General features: G+C 44.1%; 1 protein-coding gene across 3 annotated transcripts in view, besides 9 other annotated features; it reads right to left on the bottom strand.

Annotated features, from left to right (window-relative positions):
* The window catches only part of SGPP2 (sphingosine-1-phosphate phosphatase 2), a 138,634-nt gene extending 117,410 nt beyond the window's left edge, over positions 1-21,224 (bottom strand). For 2 of the 3 annotated variants that reach the window (NM_001320833.2, NM_152386.4), the window contains exon 1: positions 20,391-20,669. Coding sequence is in view for 1 of the 3 variants with exons in the window: in NM_152386.4 (NP_689599.2) it covers positions 20,391-20,609 (219 nt within the window). In the remaining 2 variants the exon portion in view is untranslated. Of the gene's footprint in view, positions 1-20,390; positions 20,670-21,133 lie in introns of those variants that run through there. The other variant, NM_001320834.2, reaches the window with a different exon arrangement.
* Positions 16,918-16,967: an enhancer, noted in NCBI's record as "active region_17165". NCBI's record gives its function as "activates an Ori minimal core promoter by ATAC-STARR-seq in GM12878 lymphoblastoid cells {active_cell/tissue: GM12878}" and the evidence as "EXISTENCE:reporter gene assay evidence [ECO:0000049][PMID:35858748]".
* Positions 17,128-17,247: an enhancer, noted in NCBI's record as "active region_17164". NCBI's record gives its function as "activates an Ori minimal core promoter by ATAC-STARR-seq in GM12878 lymphoblastoid cells {active_cell/tissue: GM12878}" and the evidence as "EXISTENCE:reporter gene assay evidence [ECO:0000049][PMID:35858748]".
* Positions 17,458-17,527: an enhancer, noted in NCBI's record as "active region_17163". NCBI's record gives its function as "activates an Ori minimal core promoter by ATAC-STARR-seq in GM12878 lymphoblastoid cells {active_cell/tissue: GM12878}" and the evidence as "EXISTENCE:reporter gene assay evidence [ECO:0000049][PMID:35858748]".
* Positions 19,676-19,735: an enhancer, noted in NCBI's record as "active region_17162". NCBI's record gives its function as "activates an Ori minimal core promoter by ATAC-STARR-seq in GM12878 lymphoblastoid cells {active_cell/tissue: GM12878}" and the evidence as "EXISTENCE:reporter gene assay evidence [ECO:0000049][PMID:35858748]".
* Positions 19,786-19,935: an enhancer, noted in NCBI's record as "active region_17161". NCBI's record gives its function as "activates an Ori minimal core promoter by ATAC-STARR-seq in GM12878 lymphoblastoid cells {active_cell/tissue: GM12878}" and the evidence as "EXISTENCE:reporter gene assay evidence [ECO:0000049][PMID:35858748]".
* Positions 20,236-20,285: a silencer, noted in NCBI's record as "silent region_12371". NCBI's record gives its function as "represses an Ori minimal core promoter by ATAC-STARR-seq in GM12878 lymphoblastoid cells {active_cell/tissue: GM12878}" and the evidence as "EXISTENCE:reporter gene assay evidence [ECO:0000049][PMID:35858748]".
* Positions 20,296-20,525: a silencer, noted in NCBI's record as "silent region_12370". NCBI's record gives its function as "represses an Ori minimal core promoter by ATAC-STARR-seq in GM12878 lymphoblastoid cells {active_cell/tissue: GM12878}" and the evidence as "EXISTENCE:reporter gene assay evidence [ECO:0000049][PMID:35858748]".
* Positions 20,616-20,965: a silencer, noted in NCBI's record as "silent region_12369". NCBI's record gives its function as "represses an Ori minimal core promoter by ATAC-STARR-seq in GM12878 lymphoblastoid cells {active_cell/tissue: GM12878}" and the evidence as "EXISTENCE:reporter gene assay evidence [ECO:0000049][PMID:35858748]".
* Positions 21,126-21,425: an enhancer, noted in NCBI's record as "active region_17160". NCBI's record gives its function as "activates an Ori minimal core promoter by ATAC-STARR-seq in GM12878 lymphoblastoid cells {active_cell/tissue: GM12878}" and the evidence as "EXISTENCE:reporter gene assay evidence [ECO:0000049][PMID:35858748]".

Raw genomic sequence — 22,697 nt, 5'->3', positions numbered from 1 at the left:
CCCCTGCTCTGAGGTTCAAGGAGGTCCACCAAGTTCAGCAAGGCCAGGTTCCAGCAGCAGCAGCAATTAGTTACTATCTTCACCTTACACAGGATGATCATTACCCATGGGGGCTCCACAGAAGTGGCCTTATTCTCATAACTTTGCTCAGAGTCAAGGACCTCTAAAGGATCCTCTCTTCCTGGTCCCTGGACAGTTAACTGTCTCCTGGGTCGGGGTCTGGTCAGGGACTAATTGGAGTCTGGATGCTTGCATGCTAAAAGCTTTATTTTATTACCCATGCTCACAATTTATTTTCCTATCTTAAAATTCTCTTAACATAATATTTTAGTCTTATGCATGAATCCATACTTCGTATACTCTAATAAAAAAAACTCCAAAGATTTTTTCCCCCAAAGCTGCAATGTATTGTTTTCTAAAGCCTGAGATCTTCTGCTGCACCTAGTTCTATCCTTGATAAGTTTCAAATCCTCTTAACATTTCTATCAGGCGTCTTGGAGGCAACGGCACTCAAAATTGTTGGTTTGGTGTTTTCTTATGGGGAATCAAGGACTCTGAGAAAAAGAGATCTTGTTCAGATGAACTTTGAAAAAGAATTTGTCCTTTTCCTGCATATGTCCTGCTCACCTGTTTACCTGTCTCCACCAATGCACTGAGAGCTCTTCAAGAGCAGGGACCAGCAGGCTTATCCACCCCAGAGGGTTCACAGTCTGGCACATTGTATCCACTTGATAGACACTGGCTGAATATTAGTAGTGTTATTTCAGAATAAGAAACTCTCTAAAAATTTCCACAACTCAGTAAGCGTAGATGAAAAGAAGCAGAACCTGGAAAAGCACTTTTATGGCAAATGATTGGGTGCCACAGACCACCAGAAGGAAGGACTGCCAAACTCCTACCACGCAAATCCTGGAAAACAATATGGCTGAATGCTTCCCTATGCTGCAATGCAACAATTTAAAGCACATGATTAGCTCAAACTAGAGTCTACCCTTATGAAGTGGCATAAGAAAGTAGATCTGCACCATCTGTATGGTCCCAAGGTCCCTTGTCTCCCATCACCCATGCTCTACAACAAGAGAGGAATTTCTTCTTGGAAAAGACCTTGTCACATTAAAATAATAGAAGTGCCATTAGCAGTAGTAGCAGCAACAGCAGTGTTGGTAATGGTGGGATGGTAGAGACAATAGTAAAAATAACCTTTGAAGGCTGACTTGACACCAAATACCATGTGTTCAGCACTTCCACAGATGATCTTATTTACATCTCAGAACTCTAGGAGGTATATGTGATTATTTCTCCCCATTTCACAGATAAGGAAACCAAGGTGGTAGAGGTTACAGTAGAGGTTACATGACATGTTTTAGATGTGTAAGAAGCCAAGCACCATCTTAGCCTATTACACTGCCTCCCCTGCAAAATACAGCACAGACATGGAACACACAGACCTCTGTGAGGGGCCATGTGAGGCCCTGAAAGGCTCACTATAGCCAAGATCCCTGTAGCACACAACCTAAGTCAACAGCACCAAAACCAATGGTTAAAAAAAACAAACAAGTGGAAAACAAACAATATCTACTCTTGGCACAACACAGACCTGCAAAGAAAATACCAGCGAGAAGAAATGGCAGAGGGAAGAGCAACAGGAAAGAAAATTGTCATTATTCCTTTTCTCTACGGTAGCCCCTCATAAATCCTTTTCTTTGGAAGTAAAATAAGCTAAAGAAACCCAGATACTGCATGTTCTCACTTATATGTGGGAGCTAAACATTGGGTACAAACAGACCCAAGGATGGGAACGATAGACACTGGGGATTTCAAAAGCGGGGAGGGAAGGAGAGGGACAAGGGTTGAAAAATGACTCATCAGGTACTATGGTCACTACCTTGGGCGATGGGATCGTTAGACACCCAGACCTCAGCATCACGCAATACACCCATGTAACAAATCTGAATATGTACTCAATGAATCTAAATTAAATTTTAAAAAATTAGTAAAATAAAGCTGAAATTAAAAAAAATATATGATTCATAGGGCAAAGCCGAGAATGGTTTCAATCCATGATGCAGCACTTCTACTTCACCAGACAATGGCCATTCTGGTAACATTTCCAATTTTAAGATTGTCACAGTTTTTTAGAGGAGGAAGCATTAAAAATGTCATTTTCAAGCGTGGGTATTTTATAAAGGTCACTACAAGCAAATGTGACAATTACTTCGGAGGCATTCCTTACTATAATGTCATGATTCAATATTTGATCGTTCTGATTTCAGGTTTGTTCAGCGAGGCTCCACTCTGACTGATCTATTGACTCCTGCTGAGCTTGCGGTCTGAATCTTAATATTGAGGGCTATAAAACTGTCTGCTCTGAGGAAGGGTAAATTTAAGGGTCCCCTGAGACAGATCTTTCCAATGTTACACCATTATATTAGAGTGGATTCAAAAACCATTAGATACTTCAGAGTTCAAATACTAGTACAGAAACACATTGCAAAAAGAAACTACATTTTGGTTTCTTAAAAAGCATTTTAGATTCTTAGCCAAAAGAAACTCATTTAGTAATCACCTAGGGGACTAGGTATTTTATATGTTCAAGGATATTTGCATAATTAATCAAATTTTATGATACTGGTATCTAATATTCACAGACATGAAGATGAATTACACAATTAAATTGTTCGATGTTTTTCTGTACTTACGAAAAACATCACCCAACAAAATCAAAAAAGGGAGAAGATAAAAAGATACTTTTAAAACACACCAGTATAAAAAGTCTGTCAGATAATATTTTATGTCTGCTATAAGTACTAAGTATTGTTATTTAATCTTACTTTAAAAATTCCTTTACTTCAACCACTGTCACCAGATGAAGAGAAACCAAGATCCAACAAAAAGCATGCCCAAGACGTTGCCTGCAAGTGAGTAAATAGCTAAAACAATGACATACAACAATTAAAAGAGATATTCAAAAGCAACTTTTAAAGAAACAACAGAAGATACATGCCAAAAATATACCAGAGGGAAGAGGAGATATAACATTCAACATCTGTATCTCTTAAGATGTTCCTGAGTTCTTTAAGAATATATTTTTGCCCAAGGAAGGATATTTTTAAGGCTGAAATCTTTCAGTGCATTAAGAAATTCCCATTAGTGCAAAAGAACATTATGTATTTTAAGTTCTTAGCATTTCATGTGGTTGCTTGGACAGAACAGGAAAAGATATACTGTAATTCCATGTGGCATCTTCATGTAGAGACATGGGGGTACCATTTTGTTTCGTTTAAGAAAGCTACTGGAGTACTTCACATAGTTTAATAAATATTTCTTCAAGGTAAGGTTCCTAATCAATACAGTTGATATTTGGCACTTTATTAAAAAAGATGTCAATGATAATTTATTTAAGGTTCTAATGTGGATCAATGGTAATAATCTTAGTAACTAATATTCCTCAAAAGTATAAAATGTCCTTAGAATCTTTTTATAAAATTAAAATAATTTAATTTTTTCTAAACATAAAATTCCTACCTTCGTATTGTAAACAATGCAGAGTATACAGAAAATTACAAGTAAGAAAATAAAAATGACATTTAAACCCTCTGTGCCCAAGAACAATCCCTGGAAACATTTGGTTCATCACTCCAGATCCTTTTGAAAAAATATATTCAAATATATACTTTACAGTTTTAAAATGTGTACATTTAAACTTCATATTATAAACTCTACTTTTTAATCTGCTTTTTCTGGTTGAACAATAGATCATGAATGTGTTTCCATGTCTAGATGTATATGGAATTTTAATTACTTTTATAATATCCTTTGGATATTGTGATTAAATTTTTCCCTTTGTAGAACACAGTTGAACAAATCTTTTACAATTGGATATTTGACAAATACTTTCTGATGATGAAAACTACTTGTGGGAGAAGAACATAAATCTATTAAACAAATGTAATGGTTCTACCACGTGAGGAATGGCTATTGTTGACCTTGAGGCCAGGGAAAGAAGCCACTGAACCATGAGTCAGCCTCCCTGCCAAAGCCCTGGGCCTCACCATTGAGAATACAGTTTAAATACAGAGGAATCTACTTTTTATGTACATCAGAAGAGAATTAACTATTTTAAAACTTTTCATTTAAAATTAGACAGCTACTCTCAATGAAATTACACATGGACAAAGTAACCCTCAAAAATGATCTCTTATGCTGAATACACTTTCCTGGTTTTATTTTCTTTTAGTTCACACTATACCAGCTAGAGTCATGCAGCAGGCATGAAATGTGTGAAAAAGTAGAAGGGAGTGTAGATCTCAGATGGCTCTTTTAAGATGTTCCATGGTTAAAGGAAGCAGAGAGTGTCAGATTCCAGCGCTGCTAGGCTGAAAGCTGATGTTCTGCGGTGGGTGAAGACGGGGATTAATGACTTGAAGTATGTTTGTAGACTGAGGAGGAAAAAAAGACAACTGGAAGAGAGACTGAAGTTGTCCTAATGTGCAAATTTGATCTACTTGCAACACCAGTTTAAAGTAGCTTAACAAAATGTTAAAAAAACAGTATTTTAAAACATAAAAAACAGCCAGGCGTGGTGGCTCATGCCTGTAAACCCAGCACTTTGGGAGGCTGAGGTGGGCAGATCACAAGGTCAGGAGTTTGAGACCAGCCTGACCAATATGGTGAAACCCTATCTCTACTAAAAATACAAAAATTAGCCGGGCATGGTGGTGGGCGCCTGGAGTCCCAGCTACTCGGGAGGCTAAGGCAGGAGAATCTCTTGAACCCCGGAGGCAGAGGTTGTAGTGAGCTGAGGTTGCACCCTGCACTCCAGCCTGGGCAACAGAATGAGATTCCGTCTCAAAAAAAAACAAAAACAAAAACAAAAACACACAAAACATGAGGCTATAAAACAAGTCTGTCAAAATAAAATTAAGGACAAATGTGCTTTTCTGACACTCAAACACTTCTCTGTGCTCTCCTTGGCACATAGCAGCAGTCAGTGAGCAGAAGGTTGACAGCCAAGCCCTGAAGCTCTGGAAACAGCAGCACAGCAGGCTCAGAAGCCACCTTCTCCCAAATGCTATTCTACATTTCCTTGTGCAGAAAGTACAAATAATGCCTGTAGTAAAAGTTGCGAGAAAAATGGCAGAACCAGTTTTTATAAGGCAGTATTGATTTTTTAACTTTATTTTGAAATAATTATAGATTCACAGGCAGTTGCAAAGGTAGTAGAGAGTTGTCCCATATACCCTTCACCATTTCCTTCCAATACTTCCTTCTTACATAATTATACCCAACAGCAAGACCAGGAATATGACCTTGGCACATGTGTAGAGCCATTTTATCACAAGTGCAGACTTGTGCAATCAAGACAGAACATTCCATCACCACAAAGATCTCCCTCAGACTACCCCTTTATAGCAATCCTTCCTTTCTTACCCTTAGCAACTACTAATTTGTTTATCACCTTTATAATTTTGCCATTTCAAGAACATTATATACATGGAATTCTACAGAACTTGATCTTTTGAAATTGGCTTGTTATTGCCCGTGACATACATCCAAGTTATCATGTGTATCAATTGTTCATTCCTTTTTACTGCTGAGTAGTATTCTATGACATGATGTATTGCAGTTGATTTAACAATTTATCTCCTGAGGAACGTTTTGGTTGTTTCCTTTTTTTTTGGAGATGGAGTTTTGCTCTGTTGCCCAGGCTGGAGTGCAATGGTGTGATCTCAGCTCACTGCAACCTCTGCCTCCCAGGTTCAAGTGATTCTCGTGTCTCAGCCTCCCAAGTAGCTGGGGTTACAGGTGCATGCCGCCACATTTGTCTAATTTTTGTATTTTTAGTAGAAAATCACGGCCTCTTAATCAATTTCCAGACTTGAGCCAGTTTACAGACCCAGAACACCTTGAATGAAGGGGAGGCCAGGTCCCCTTGAGGAAGGACCCCATTACATTACCGAAAATTTATGCAGTGAATCTTTCTCCCATCCTTCCCCAAGGAGACCTCTGGCCTTTCACCAGGGTAACTGTGCACTGGGGAAAGGGAAATGATCAGACATTTCAGGGACTAGTGGACACTGACTCTGAGCTGACGTTGATTCCAGGGGACCCAAAACATCACTGTGGTCCTCCAGTTAAAGTAGGGGCTTATGGAGGTCAGGTAATTAACAGAGTTTTAGCTCAGGTCCAACTTACTGTGGGTACTCATCCTGTGTTTATTTCCCCAGTGCCAGAAAGCATAATTGGCACAGACATACTTAGCAGCCGGCAGAACCCCCCCATTGGCTCCCTGACTGGTAGGGTGAGGGCTATTATGGCGGGAAAGGCCAAATGGAAGCCATTAGAGCTGCATCTACTTAGAAAAATAGTAAATCAAAACCAATATCGCATCCCTGGAGGAACTGCGGAGATTAGTGCCACCATCATGGACTTGAAAGACACCGGGTTGGAGATTCCCACCACATTCCCATTCAACTTTCCCATTTGGCCTGTGCAGAAGACAGATGGATCTTGGAGAATGACAGTGGGTTACTGTAAGATTAATCAAGTGGTGACTGCAATTGCAGTTGCTGTACCAGACATGGTTTCATTGCTTGAGCAAATTAACACATCTCCTGGTACCTGGTATGCAACCACTGACTTGGCAACTGCCTTTTTCTCCATTCCTGTCCATGAGGCCCACCAGAAGCAACTTGCCTTCAGCTGGCAAGGCCAGCAATATACCTTTACTGTCCTACCTCAGGGGTATATCAACTCTCCGGCTTTGTGTCATAATCTTATTTGGAGAGACCTTGATCGCTTTTCACTTTCGCAAGATATCACACTGGTCCATTACATGGATGACATTATGCTGATTGGATCCAGTGAGCAAGAACTAGCAAACACACTGGACTTATTGGTGAGACATTTGCGTGCCAGAGGATGGGAAATAAGCCCGACTAAAACTCAGGGAGCTTCTACCTCAGTAAAATATCTAGGGGTCCAGTGGTGTGGGGCCTGTCAAGATGTTCCTTCTAAAGTGAAGAATAAGTTGCTGCATTTGGCCCCTTCTACAACCAAGAAAGAGGCACAATGCCTAATGGGCCTATTTGGATTTTGGAGGCAACATATCCCTCATTTGGGTGTGTTACTCCAGCCCATTTATCAAGTGACCTAAAAAGCTGCCAGTTTTGAGTGGGGTCCAGAACAGAAGAAGGCTCTGCAACAGGTCCAGGCTGCTGTGCAAGCTGCTCTGCCACTTGGGCCATATGACCCAGCAGATCCAATGGTGCTTGAGGTGTCAGTGGCAGATAGGGATGCTATTTGGAGCCTTTGGTAGGACCCCATAGGTGACTCACAGTGGGAGTCTCCAGGATTTTGGAGCAAGGCCCTACCATTTTCTGCAGATAACTACTCTCCTTTTGAGAGACAGCTCTTGGCCTGTTACTAGGCTTTGGTGGAAACTGAAGATTTGACTATGGGTTATCAAGTCACCATGAGACCTGAACTGCCCGTCATGAACTGGGTGCTTTCTGACCCACCTAGCCATAAAGTGGGTCGTGCACAGCAGCATTCCATCATCAAATGGAAGTGGTATATATGTGATTGGGCTAGAGCAGGTCCTGAAGGCACAAGTAAGTTACATGAGGAAATGGCTCAAATGCCCATGGTCTCCACTCCTGCCACCTTGCCTTCTCTCCCCCAGCCTGCACCGATGGCCTCATGGGGAGTTCCCTATGATCAGCTGACAGAGGAAGAGAAGACTAGGGCCTGGTTCACAGATGGTTCTGCATGATAGGCAGGCACCACCCGAAAGTGGACAGCTGCAGCACTACAGCCCCTTTCTAGGACATCCCTGAAGGACAGCGGTGAAGGGAAATCTTCCCAGCGGGGAGAACTTCAAGAAGTGCACCAGTTGTGCACTTTGAATGGAAGAAGTGGCCAGATGTGCAATTATATACTGACTCATGGGCTGTAGCCAATGGTTTGGCTGGATGGTCACGGACTTGGAAGAAGCAGGATTGGAAAATTGGTGACAAAGACATTTGGGGAAGAGGTATGTGGATGGAACTCTCTGAGTGGCCCAAAATTGTGAAGACATTTGTATCCCATGTGAGTGCTCACCAATGGGTGGCCTCAGCAGAGGAGGATTTTATTAATCAAGTGGCTAGGATGACCCATTTTGTGGACACCACTCAGCCTCTTTCCCCAGCCACTCCTGTCTTCACCCAATGGGCCCATGAACAAAGTGGCCATGGAGGCAGTGATGGAGGTTACGCATGGGCCCAGGAACACGGACTTCCACTCACCAAGGCTGACCTATGGCCACTGCTGAGTGCCCAATTTGCCAGCAGCAGAGACCAACACTGAGCCCTCGATATGGCACCATTCCGTTGGGTGATCAGCCGGCTACCTGGTGGCAGGTTGATTATATTGGACCTCTTCTATCATGGAAAGGGCAGAGGTTTGTCCTCACTGGAATAGACACCTACTCTGGATATCAGTTTGCCTATCCTGCACGCAATGTTCTGCCAAGACTATCATCTGTGGACTCATGGAATGCCTTATCTACCGTCATAGTATCCCACACAGCATTGCCTCTGACCAACGCATTCACTTTACGGCTAAAGAAGTATGGCAGTGGGCTCATGCTCATGGAATTCATTGGTCGTACCATGTTCCCCATCATCCTGAAGCACCTGGATTGACAGAATGCTGGTATGGCCTTTTGAAGTCACAATTACAATGCCAACTAGGTGACAATAGTTTACAGGGCTGGGGCAAAGTTCTCCAGAAGGCCTTGTATGCTCTGAATCAGTGTCCAATATATGGTACTATTTCTCTCATAGTCAAAATTCATGTTTCCAGGAATCAAGGGGTGGAAGTAGAAGTAGCACAACTCACCATCACCCCTAGGGATTCACTAGCAAAATTTTTGCTTCCTGTTCCTGTGACATTATGTTCTGCTGGCCTAGAGGTCTTAGTTCCAGAGTGGGGAACGCTGCCACTAGGAGGCACAACGATGATTCCATTAAACTGGAAGTTAAGATTGCCATCTGGACACTTTGGGCTCCTCCTACCTTGAAGTCAACAGGCTAAGAAAGGAGTTACAGTGTTGCCTGGGGTGACTGACCCAGACTATCAAGATGATACTTCACAACAGAGTTAAGGAAGAGGATGCATGGAATACAGAAGATCCATTAGGGCATCTCTTAGTATTACCATTCCCTGTGATTAAGGTCAATGGGAAAGTACAACAGCCCAGTCCAGGCAAGACTACAAATGACCCAGACCCTTCAGGAATGAAGGTTTGAATCACTCTACGAGGAAAAAAACCACGACCTGCTGAAGTGCTTGCTGAAGGCAAAGGGAATGGGCAGTAGAAGGTAGTCACCAATACCAGCTACGACCACATGACCAGCTACAGAAACCAGGACTGTAATTGTCATGAGTATTTCCTTATTCTTTTGTTAAAACATGTTTGTGCACGTATACACTTGTACTAAGAAAATACCTTCATTTTATTTCCTTTCTCCTTTATCATGTGACATAAGATTTATTGACTTCATATCAGCATTTAAGTATTGTTAACTTTATGTAATAGTACTTGCGTTGGGGCGTGGTGAATTTCCTGTTGTATGAAGGATAGTTGTATTATGTTAGACATAATTATAACCTTATTGTTATCTGTATATGAAGATTACATATGATCTCAGGAGATGTACATGGGTTCAAGTTGACAAAAGGTGGACTTGTGATGGTTAATACTGAGTGTCAACTTGATTGGATTGAAGGATACAAAGTATTGATCCTGGGTGTGTCTGTGAGGGTGTTGCCAAAGGAGATTAACATTTGAGTCAGTGGGCTGGGAAAGGCAGACTCACTCTTAATCTGAGTGGGCACAATCTAATCAGCTGCCACCTCAGCTAGAATATAAGCAGGCAGAAAAATGTAAAAAGAGAGACTGGCCTAACTTCCCAGCCTACATCTTCTCCCATGCCAGATGCTTCTTGCTCTCAAACATTAGACTCCAAGTTCTTCAGTTTTGGAACTCAGACTGGCTCTCCTTGTTCCTCAGCCTGCAGAAGGCCTATTGTGGGACCTCGTGATTGTGTGAGTTAATACTAAATAAACTCCATATATATATATGTGTATATATATATGTATATGTGTATATGTGTGTATATATATACACATATATATACACACATATACACATATGTGTGTGTGTGTGTGTGTGTGTGTGTGTGTGTGTGTATATATCTCCATTCTGTTAGGTCTGTCCCTCTAGAGAACCCTAATATACAAACCAACTTCTAACAGAGGCTCCTTCCATTTGTCAAGCTTTAAACAAAATACTTGATGTTCTATTTCACAGCCACCCTTTAATTATCTTTCACCTAAGCCCTTTCTCTACCAATTAAGGCCTGGTCTTTTTTAGCTGCCGACACATTACCCCAGCAGCCTGTGCATTCACCACCACACCCACAGGAATCTTTGCTTTGATGGGCAGTTTTTCATAAAATTTTATGGAAACAAAATTTTTGCCATTTGGACAAATCAAAACATACCCTGAGATGACAGAAAGGGCATTTCTTATGAAGGCATTTACCAAATAAACAAAGTAACAATGAACCAGGTGTTTTCTCATTAAACAATAGAGGTATAGCACTGCCAATGAGCATTTGGGGGAGGAGAGAATAGTATTTAAAATGGTTGAGGGAAACCACTGCCCCCTTTCCCAAGACTCCCAAGCCTTGCCTTCAAGATCTTAGGTAGTTGGTGCCTTCCCTTTTCATCCGCTCTGGCCCAAGCCTCAGGGACTTTTTGTTGTGCTTGAAGCAAGATTGAGGGGACAAAAAACATGAGTCACACACCTACGTGCTGAGATATTGCGCTGTGCCCCATAAACATATACAATTATTATGTGTCAATTATAAAATTAAAAATTAATTAATCAAAAAATACAAGTCACAGTCTCGCCTTGATTTTTCAATGTTTCACTTTCTCAGTATATGGAATGTATCTCACCAGGCAAGAAGAATAATAAAGACCTGCAGATGCCCCAAATTTTGGTATTTTCATAGATTCCTAATATAGACAGGAACACTCTTGATGCGTTGCCTGGAAACTGTGACAGTGTTTTCTCACAAGAAAATCTCCTGCTGGATAAAATGCAAGAATGCCTTAGTTCAGGATATAATTCTAATCGGGACCACAGAGGACTTAATCATTAACGAAAACTGTAACAAGAGGAAGTGAAAGTGCTTTTTGAAAAATGCAAATGTCTTGACATCTTAATTAGAAGTCAAAAAAGTTAAAATCACACCAGGCCGGCTGTCCACAGCCTTCCTAAAACATAGTAATTGAAATACATTTTTAAACTTGTCAGATGTTTCACCATCAACTAACTTTTTAGCAATACCTCCCTTCATGGCATCCATCAGAAGAAAGCAAAGCAATTAAAAAGTTATTCATTAATCAAAACCCTCTATCAGTTTCCTGGATAAAAAGGAAGGAGCCAACATGGGGGGAAAAAAATCATCAAGCTACAAGAAGACACAGCCAGGCCAAGTGTCCAGGGATAAGTTACCTCTGTTGTGACAGGAAAGGGCAGGTGATCAAATTTCTGCCAAGTCAGACAAAGGCGAGTTTAGCGCACCTTTCAAGCTTCCATTCACCAGGTAGGATTAAGTACCTGGTTGCTCCAGGCATGTCAGGCCCTGAGGGTACACAGGTGAGCAGAGGGATCTAACTTCCTCTCCCCATTGTTCTTCCTCACCAGCCACCATTCGCAACTACAGTGAGAGAAATAACGACCTACTTGCAATTAAGTGTAAATCCTTCAAAGTAGTAGGGATCAGCACATTCTGGTTGCACTGCGAGATCCCCACAGGCTCCCTCCACTGAGAGGGGTTTATAATATAATTCCTCAAGAACTAAGAAAACTGCAGCAGCCACACAGCCAGCTTCTTTCCTAAGGTCCTCTCTGAGCCATTCTATCCTGAAACATAACAGTTCCTCTAGCTTCTCATGCTCAGTGGAATCTGCCATACTCAAGTCTTAGCTTCTTTTTCCATTCAGAAATTTTTTTTCTGCTTTGTTTGGCTTTGCCTGTCCCCTCCCCTCCCCTCCCCTTCCCTCCTCTCGTCTCCCCTCCTTCTCTCCTCTCTTTCTCTCTCTTTCTTTCTTTCTTTCTCTCTTTCTTTCTTTTTCAGAGTTTCGCTCTTATTGCCCAGGCTGGAGTGCAAAGGCATGATTTTGGCTTACCGCAACCTCTGCTTCCTGGGTTCAAGCGATTCTCCTGCCTCAGCCTCCCGAGTAGCTGGGATTACAGGTATGTGCCACCATGCCCCGCTAATTTTGTATTTTTAGTAGAGACAGGGTTTCTCCATGTTGGTCAGTCTGGCCTCGAACTCCTGACCTCAGGTGATCCACCCGCCTTTGCCTCCTAAAGTGCTGGGATTACAGGCGTGAGCCACCGTATCTGGCCTATCTTTTCTACAGACTTTTCATTCCCCCCTCCACCTCTGGCTTCTGAGTTCCTATTGTTTCCTGTGTCTTGAGGCTTCTGTTTCTTTACAACCTCCCTCTTTTCTCTGAGGTTTGTCAGAACTCTAACATTTATGTCTGGGTCTTGCATTCAGACTTGCTGAGGGAGCAATTCGATTGAGTCTGTTAGTCACTACACAATATGCATGATCTTAATTGGATGACGTCCCCATGCCAAGCCATGTCATAAAATGCTGACCAGCCTATAGAAGGCTGCCTTTCACTCCAGGGCTGAGCCCTGGCTCAATCAGCTTGTAGTCATAATGATGGGATCCTATGATTCAAAACATGGCAACCTCTGTCTTAAGAAACCATTTGTGCTTTTTCCTCGTAAATCATCTGTGGGTGAGAGTGACAATAGAAGTATCACAAAGGACCCAAAACAGACATTAAGGTTTGATTTCATGTGAGTCCTACATTTGTTGCTGCTTGAATCTAACATCACTATTTCTTAAAAGGCTTCACCACTGGGCTCCCTCCATACTCACACAAGCACCTCCATCAATCCTGCACAGAGACAGCCTGAGATCCCTTCTTAACACAGTGCTCTCAGTTGCCAATTCCGATTTGGCACACGGGATGAAATTGACTGCTATCTTCTTGTCTATAGGATAAAGTCCAAATTCTGCAGTAAGCCACATTAAGGCTTCAGCCTAAAACTCTGGCTGCAGCCCAAAACTGCAGCTGTATTATCACACCAATTTCTTCATGCAACCTGCGCTGGGTGGGTTCCATTTCTCCTCTCCAGTCCACTCTCTGCCTTTCTCCAGGGAGGCTGACCTTGATGGACTGCTTCAGCCAGCTCCCAAGCTCCCTGACTATGGGCTAAATTTGGTTAAAGTGGGGGCACTGGTAGGATATGAGAAAGAAGGCATATGGAGAATGAGCTTGAGATCTGATCCCCACCCCTCAACCTCTTCCTGCCTGGCTGTGGCTGCCTTTCTTTGCTAAGGGCCTCAGCTCTGGTCAGGGGATTCCCTCTGCCATCTAAGCTCTCAGTGGGTCTGGGGTTACCCGAACCCTATTCCCTGTTCTTGCTTTTTTAGGCTGAAGTTGCTTGCTCCAAGATGCTTCATCCTCCCATGTTGGTTTTCTTCCAACCCTGCCCACGTCTTTGTAAATAGTCCTTCAATTACCCCCACCTTGTAAAATTTTTAGACTTCGAGCGGGGGGCGGGGGGCAAGGTCTCCTCTGTCACCTAGAATGGAGTGCAGTGGCATGATCTTGGCTCACTGCAACCTCTAACTCCCGGGTTCAAGCAATTCTCATGCCTCAGCTTCCCAAGTAGCTGGTACATCAGACGTGTGCCACCACACCTGGCTAATTTTCATATTTTTTGGTAGAGACAGGGTTTCACCATGTTGGCTAGGCTGGTCTTGAATGCCTGACTTCAAGTGATCCGACTTCCTTGGCCTCCCGAAATGCTGCGATTACAACTCCTGACCTCAAGAGAGCCACCATGCCTGGCCTAAATAGACTTTTTTTTTTTTTAAGAAAAGTTTGAAATTTATAAAAAGATTGAAAAGATAATACACAATTCCCATATACTCCCAGCCTTCCTTATACTCTGTAGGCAGGTACCCCTATGATTAACATCTTATGTTGGTATGATACATTTGTTACAATATTGATACATTATTATTAACTGAAGTCCATACTTTACACAGGCTTCCTTATTTTTTACCTAATTTTTTTTTTCTGTTCCATGACCTCATCCAGGATACTACATAACATTTAGTCATGCCTCCTTAGACTCCTCTTGAGTTGTGACAGCTTCTCAGAATTTCCTTGTTTCTGATGACCTTGACAGTTTTGAAGAGTACTGGTCAGATATTTTGCAGAATGACCCTCAACATGTAACAAGAATACATAATTTTAATATGCATCAAGAGAACATGATGTCAACATGACTTACCACTGGTGATGTTGACCTTGATCATCTGGCCAAGGGAGTGTCTGTCAAGTTTCTACACTGTAAAATTACTTTTTTCCCCCTTCTCTTTCTATATCGCACTTTTTGGAAGGAAGTCACTATGTGCAGCCCATGTTTAAGAAATAGGGAGGCTGGCTGTGGTGGCTGATGCCTGCAATCCCAGCACTTTGGGAGGCCAAGGCAGGAGGATCGCTTGAGCCCAGGAGTTCGAGACTAGCCTGGACAACATAGTGAGACCCTGTCTCTATTTTTTTCAAAAAAGAAGAAAAGAAATAGAGAGCTATGCTTCCTTCCCTAAAAGGTGGAATAGAGCCTATGTTCTTTAAGAAAATTAAGGTAAAATATACATAACATGTACCATTTTAACTATTTTTAAGGTTTCGATCACCCTTTTTAAGTAGACCAACTATTTCCTGCTGACACTCTGATGATATCCAAGCTGAACTTGTCATCATTCACCAAAAATGACACGTGTCTTTATGTTCTAGCACATGAGAATCCAGGTAAAGAAAGAGCTTCTCCCATTTTTGCCTGTTTGATTCCTACCCACTCTTTAAGCCCCAACTCAAGACTTCATGGGCTCCCCTGGGAAGGTGAGTTACTCCTGCTATTGTCTTCCTGTCCTTGTATTCATCGTTCTATTCTAGTATTTTTTTTATTTTTTGCACTGCATCCTTTTATTTGGGCTTTCACACAGAAGAAACTAAATTGTATTGATCTTTATGTCTCTAAGTCTGAGGACTGTCCCAGAAACATGGTAGTGATCAATGGATGTTGACTGGAAATGAAGAAAGCAAAGGTGAGATAGAAGCCAAAGTGGTTTATTTTCTCCAAAGATTAAAGAGAGGTTTAACACCTAACATTGGTGAGTGTGTGGGAAAACCTGCCCTCGTAGTGGTTTGCCCTAGCAGACTCTTCCTGTAGGGCAATTCGGTAGTAGCTATTAAGAGCAATAATATATGCATTTTTTTCACTCAACAGTTTCAAGTCTGGACATTTTATTTGGAAGATAATCAAAGACAGGTGGAGAGATACTTGTACAAAGATGTTATCATTTTTAATGCAAAAACTGGAAACAAACCAAAAGCACAGCACCTAGCTGACTAAATTACAGTATATCCATCCTGTGGAGGAACATGCGGCCATTAAAAATTGGGCTGAACATTTACTAAGTGATTAGCAATGGGCGGTGATATAACGGGCATGAATTTAACTTTCTCTTCGTGTGTTTCCAAGTTTTCTCCTGTGAACAATGATGATATCTGTAACTAGAAAAAAAGATCAAATATATTCTTTCGAACTATCTCATTTTGTCATTTCAGATGTAAGCATCCAATAAAGGATAATAAAAACTTGCAGTCTGATCTGTTGGCCAGTTTAGTTATGGTGAAGCCAAAATGTCACGGCTGCCATGACCACTGCCTGCAGCCATCACCACCCTCCTACTGAATATACTAAGGGTGGTGGGTCCCAGGAGAAGAGAACTCAGAGCTTCCCAACTTTGTTGGTCAGCTTCTCTGGACCCCTCTTCTAACCTGGATCTTGGACATTGGTTTATGTTTGTTTTGTTTTGAAAGCTTCTCTAAGTGACTATACTGTACAGCCATGGTTAGAAAACCATGGTTCTTGGCCGGGTGCGGTAATCCCAGCCTGTAATCCCAGCACTTTGGGAGGTGGCCTGTAATCCCAGCACTTTGGGAGGCTGAGGCAGGCACATCACCTAAGGTCAGGAGTTCATGACCAGCCTGGCCAACATGGCAAAACCCGATCTCTACTAAAAATACAAAAATTAGCTGGACATGGTGGTGCATGCCTGTAATCCCAGCTACTTGGGAGGCTGAGGCAGGAGAATCGTTTGAATCCAGGAGGCAGAGGTTGCAGTGAGCTGAGATGGAGCCACTGTACTCCAGCCTGGATGACAGGGTGAGACTCTGTCTCAAAAAAAAAAAAAAAAAAAAAAAAGAAAACCATGTTTTTTTTCCCCCACTCTGCTCATTCTGCAGATGGGACAACCGAGGTTCAGAGAAGTCCAAAATGACATGAAGGTAAAACTAGATCCTGGTCTCCTGGTTTCCAGGATGTAGTATTTGTACTTTAGCACACCAATGAAATCAAGGTTTCGTAGATTAACAGATTTAGAGCCTCAAATGTTTCAAGAGGGAAACTAGGAGTCTAAGATTTCTAGAAACAACTTATCTTTGAACCTCTCCCTAAGTCAATGTGAGAACTATGTCTGAGCAGTTATCAAAAAGTACTGGACACAGGGATATTAGAAAAGATGATCCTTAGTCTAATGTACTGCTGAGGAAGGCACTGCAGAGTCTAACTAAATACAACTGTATTGAGTAAGCAAAAATGTTAGAAATCAAAATACCATTATATACGAGGCTGGCTTTACCCCAGGACAAATAAATGAAATTCTCATCACACCTTTACCTTCCTGGCCCAGTCCTAGGATCCTGCCTTCTGCTCAGGGCAGTGCCTCCCAAAGCAATAACCAAAAATGGCTTCCTACAGTTACTCTTGCAAGTCAGATACCCTTGCAAACTGAAAGCAATACCACCTCTTTTCACACGATCTCCACCCTGTCCCAGCCAGTACCAACAGGACACACCTCAGTGAATCAGATACAGTGAGGCCCTGGAATTTTCCCTGGAATCTGCACAGAGGAAAGAAGTTTAGACTTGGGAGTCAAAAGATCTGACTTCCCCTGACTGTGTGGATATCCTGGAAGTCCTCAATAAATCTCTTAACCCTTCAGGACTCAGACTTTCTGTGAAATTCATGACTACTGGGCAATTTCTAAGGCCCAGTCCAATTTATTCAATGACAGGCTTGTACAAGCCAAGCCCACTCCTGGTTTGTAAAAGATGCAGTTAATCTTTAAGCTAGCAGCGTGTGGTGTAATGAGAACTTGTAGAGGAAACTTTTAGTCACTTGAAAACAGGAAACACTTGTCCTGTTTCAAAATTAAAACAAATATAGACAATGTGAAAGGTGAGAAGGTAAATCAGATTCATTAAGATCTAAAGTCACTCAAATGAAGAAGAAAACTTCTCTATTGTTTGAAGGGTCCTAAATCAACGTCCTGGTGCTACCTTCTAGGCTATGCGGAAAAATCACTTGATTTTCAACATTCACTCATTTTTTTTTAAAGAAAAACGAAACATCGCCAGTCACAGTGACTGACGTCTATAATTTCAGCACTTTGCAAGGCTGAGGCAGAAGGATCACTTGAGGCCAAGAGTTTAAGACTAGTCTTGGCAACATAGTGAGACCCTGTCTCTACAAAAAACAACAATAACAACAACAACAACAACAACAAACCAGATGATGGCATGCATCCGTAGTCTTAGCTACACAGGAGGCTGAGGCAGGAGAACTGCAGGAGTCCAGGATGTGGAAGATGCAGTGACTTATGATTGTGCCACTGCACTCCACCCTGGGTGACACAGCAAGACCCTGTCTCTTAAAAAAAAAGTTTAAAACTATAATTTTATATTGCAATCTACATGCATGTATTCACAAAAGTCACTAGTCCCTCCTACGTGCCAGGCTATGAGAAAAAAATAAGGACCATAACAGAAAAGTTGCCTGCATTCTTAGAGTTTATCATCCTCTGGAGGGGCGGGGAATAATCAGATATCCACACAAAGGCACATTTAAACAACGTGATAAATGCTGTAATGAAGAAATGCAGAAAGCAAAGAAAAACTATAGCAGGGGGAGCTAGGCTGGAAGGTCAGAGAAGTCACCCATGGAGGAACTGACCTTTGGAAATAGAAGGATGAGTGGGGAGGATATTTAGAGAAAAGACAGGCAGCTCAGGCAGGCCAACGCCTGTACAAAGGCCTGCAGAGAGGGCAGCACACTTTTCACAACTGCCCCCTTAAAGTCCTGTAAATTGCCTGAGTGTAGATAAGAGATAATTTTTGAGGGGGGGAATCAATGTGTGTATGTAAAGGATTAATCTTCCCAAGTCATTTGAAACCAACCCACCTGTAAAAACATTAATTAACCTTTCATTTATCAAGCACTCTCAAGTTTATGATTTCCCCCATTATATACCAACACAATGATTTCTTATCTTGGGCATTCAGCTTTCTTGCTTTTACATGATCTGTAAGCAGAAGTCCTGTGTTGGCTGGGTGGGTGTGGGGAAACCGCCACAATTTCACTCACTGAAGACCCACCAGGATTGTCAAGCAGTAAGAAGATAAAACTGTGTAAGAAATCTGCTTAGCTTGCTTTTAAAGGTCAAGAGGATCCAACTGTGGAGTTTAAAGTTAAGTTACCAGGGGTGATGTTTAAAACAGTTTGAGAAGCACTGGTGGAACAATTCACTCTTTTTCAGCTTCCTGAATTAGAGAAACAGGGTAGAAGCTTGTGAAGAGAGCAACAGAAAGCAACTCACGTGTCTACCTGTGGGTGTAAACAGTGTGTGCACCGAATATGTCACGGCACGTTTCAGCCATGGGACTGTTTTTTGTTTGTTTGTTTGTTTGTTTTGGTCTTTTTTTTTTTTTTTTTTTTTTTTTGAGACGGAGTCTCGCTCAGTCGCCCTGGCTGGAGTGCAGTGGCGTGATCTTGGCTCACTGCAACCTCCGCCTCAAGCTATTCTCCTGTCTTAGCCTCCGGAGTAGCTGGAACTACAGGCCGCACCACCACGCCCAGCTGATTTCTTATCCCCCCTACTCTGCCCCGTTTTTAAGACAAGGCAAGAGAAAAAAGAGGGGTTCTCATACTCATCTATAGGTTACCGGAATGTCACATGGGATAAAGAAGGAACAATAAAGAGGAAAAAATACAGAGGAGGATTTCTCTGGAGTAGAACACACAACCACCCTCACCCTCCCAAACAAATTCTGTAATCCAATGCCTATAATATTCCATTCCACACAGAAGCCAGGTTCTTCGTAATTCCTCAGTTACTACATCTAGAAATTTACACGTAAGTAAAGGCCACCTTTCTTTCACCAAAACCTTCTAGGAAGAACAAAATGTGGCTGTGTACAAGGAATTCGAATTATTAATACGTTTATTTCTGTTCTCCTGCGCCACACTTTTGACTTTGCCGAGGGAAAAGGCAGGTGCTGCCAGTGCTCCCGGTAGACATGCGTCCCCAGAAGCCAAGTGCAGCCCGTCTGGTCCCTGCTGCCTAAAGTCCCTGTGCACTGCGACGACGACGCACGCTGGTTCCCCCCAAGCCGCAGTGGGTTGTATAACCACGCTTTGAACACCTAGCGGGAGCGTAGCGAGCTTCCCTCCCAGAAGCATCTGTTAGAAGTCACTGGTGTCGGTCCATAAAAGACCCACCAGGCAGGAGGGACCCCCAGACTCTGGGGGAGGGCAAGCGAGAGTTGCTGTTAAGACATCATCGCCGGGGGTAGTGCAGGGAGGTTGTAAATCTCTCTAGGAGCTGTGTGAGCCCCAAGTTCTGTGCCCAGAGCTGGCGGTGCAGCGCGGTGAGGAGCGCGCTGAGCCCGGCTGCACCCGCATTTGTGCGCATCAGGGAAGGGGGATGGGCGGAAATGCAAGAATACGGGGGTGGGGGGGAGTCTAAGAACGTCTCCCCGGGGAAGTGCCAAGGACATCCCCGCTCCTCCGTTCCATTACGTAACTCTTACATATTTGCTGGCATCTACGTGAATTTAACTACTTTTGAAAGTGGGAAGTCTCTAAATGGACTGCATTGAAAGCGTCTGGGGATATCTCAATAGACCCGGTTGCCCCTGGCAGCGTTGGAGGGTGGCATCCTGGTTACTGGAAGGCCAGGCCTCCCCGTCCGCTCGCAGCGGCGGGAGCCGGGTCACTGCCGGGGACGGCGCCCTCTCGGCCCGGCCGGCCCCGCGTGGCGGAGTCGCAGGGACCCGCACGTCCGCAGCCGCCCCCTCCCCGTACCCGGCGAACACCTGCCCATGGTTACCTCCGGCGCCGCGGCTCTGCGCAGCCCGTTGGCCGGAGCCTCGCCGCCCTTGCCGTTGGCTGCGGGGAGATGCTCGACCCCGGGGACCCGCGCCGCGCGCTCCGTGGGGTCCGCGCCGTTCTCCCGGGGGCCTTCATCCGGAGCGGGGAAGAGCCCGCAGCGGCGCTGGAAGCGGGCGACGAGCTGGGAATCCTGCAGGCTCCGCAGCAGCTCGGCCATGGTGTGCCCGGGGCCGCGCTCCGCCGCCGCTGCCACGCCGGGCCGGTGCCCTCCGCTGGCACCGCCACTCCCGCCTCGCCCCCGCCGATCCCGCACTCCGGGCGGAGGCCGGGCGGGCGGGGCCCCGGGCCCAGCCAACAGGTGCGCCGCCCGGGTCCTAGCGCCCGCCCAGGTGTCTGCCTCCACCTTGCGCAACGCGTCCCCCTTTCTCTCCGTCCCGGAGGGCTTGGGCGGCCCCGGGCGGCCACGGGGGCAGGACCGCCTGTAACTGGACGGAGGAGTGCCGATCTCCGAACTGCGCCTCTCTTCTCCCGGCGCCCCCAACCCCCCACCCCACCTTCTTCCCCCGGCAGACGTAACACTAATGGGAGCGGCCGAGCGCGCGTGCACCTGCGGCCGCTCCCATTAGCCCATCCTTTTGGGCTCAGGCTGATCCCACAGTGACCTTCCTTGCAACTCTGAGCCCAAGGTGAAGTCGGATTTCCTCCCACGCCAGCTCCCCACAGCCAGCCACGTACTCTCACCTTCCTGCAAGACTAGTTCCCAGTAAATACAGCGAGCCCCCCAGGGAGAATTCCCAAGTTCTTTCCAAACTGCGTGATGCAACGTCTCCCTAGAGGTCCGAACACCCTTGAGCTTGCTCAAGTACCCAGGAGGTTCAAAGTGGGCCCTGAGTCATCTTCCGCGTCGCTGCCCCTGCCCTTCTGATTTGGCAACTGGGGAACATTTTCAGGTGGGTGGGAAGGAAAGTCCCTTCTGGGTTTTCCGCATTGAGAACAAAGATGCTTACCGCTTTCTCCTACTTCTTTCTTTCCGCTCTGCCTCTCTTTAAGCAATGACACTGGGAAAACCCCACCAGACCATTTAGGGAGTTTAAACGAGAAGAGAACAAAGTGCTGGAGGACTGGGGACAGGATTAGGTATCTCATTGCACCTGCACCTGCTTTAGAGCACTCAGCAGAAGATAGCAAAGGAAACATCCTGCAGGCCGGCCTTGGTTTTCCCTCCTCCCTCCTACATTTCCCTCCTGGGCTCAGAGATCCCTTGGGAGGCAACAATCAAATTAGGCCCAGGTGATCAGTCTGCAACAAAAGTGCAATTCAACCCCGTCTTTCGTTTGCAGCAGAAACCTGCATGTTTCCTGATTGTCCATGCAAAGCCTACTAAGAATTTGGTTGCACAAATGATTAATGAACACCTGTCAATGCCTTATTTATTCAGTTGTCCTTTTAGGCCTGAATGTCTTTGGGATGTGACTTTCCAGGATGATGTAGTCCCCTTCATGCCCTAGTTTCTACTTTTCTTGCTTCTCAGTCCTGTCTGGAGAGCAAAGTCAAGGGGACTGAGAGAATGCTGAAGCTCTTAAGGGAAACCATTTTCCTCTTACAGAAGACACGCAGAGTTATTGTCATGTCTGGCGGGATCACACACAGAAATGTCCGGCCCAGGAGGTGGAAGCATCTCTCCACAATGCTTCTGGCTGTCATTTACAGGTGTGAGGCAAAACCCTGTGGTTTGGTTTTAGAAGCTGGAGCTGTGATCGTTGGGGACCTGTTCTGCTTATGTGTTAAAGAAATATGTTTTCCTGTGAAGGCACTTGCATCATGTGTCTCCCGAATTTAGTGCTTCGATTTTTCTTTCTACCAGTTAGGAAAAATAGGCAAAGCAAAACATGGCACACGCAGCATTAAGTTAATTGCCAAAGAATTGTATTTGTAGACAGAGCATTTTATCTCCATGGAGGATCAGTTACTGATTCCAGCTTCTAGTGGCTCACCAAGTCACCTGATGTAAGTCACCATATGTCGCAGTTTATCCCTGTAATGAAATGATAATCCTCACTTCTTGTCTTTCTTATAAGGCTCTTGTAAAAATAACCTTGAGACAAGCTCTATAAGGCCTAGTGAGATCATGATAAGAAGGTGTATTGTGCTGGAGTCATTCAATCTAGGAAGGAATCCTCAAGAGAATTTGGCTCTGAACATCTTGAGTAGGACATCTTGAGCCTCCTGGGCAGTGGTAAAGTCCATTTCCCCAGAACCTTTTTTTTCTAAGGCCCAGTCTGATTATTCTGAACATGAATTTCCC

Source organism: Homo sapiens, chromosome 2 (assembly GCF_000001405.40).
Source record: "Homo sapiens chromosome 2, GRCh38.p14 Primary Assembly".
Taxonomy (NCBI): Eukaryota; Metazoa; Chordata; class Mammalia; order Primates; family Hominidae; genus Homo; species Homo sapiens.
The sequence above is the reverse complement of the archived record's forward strand: the minus strand, read 5'-3'. Positions and strand labels throughout refer to the sequence as shown.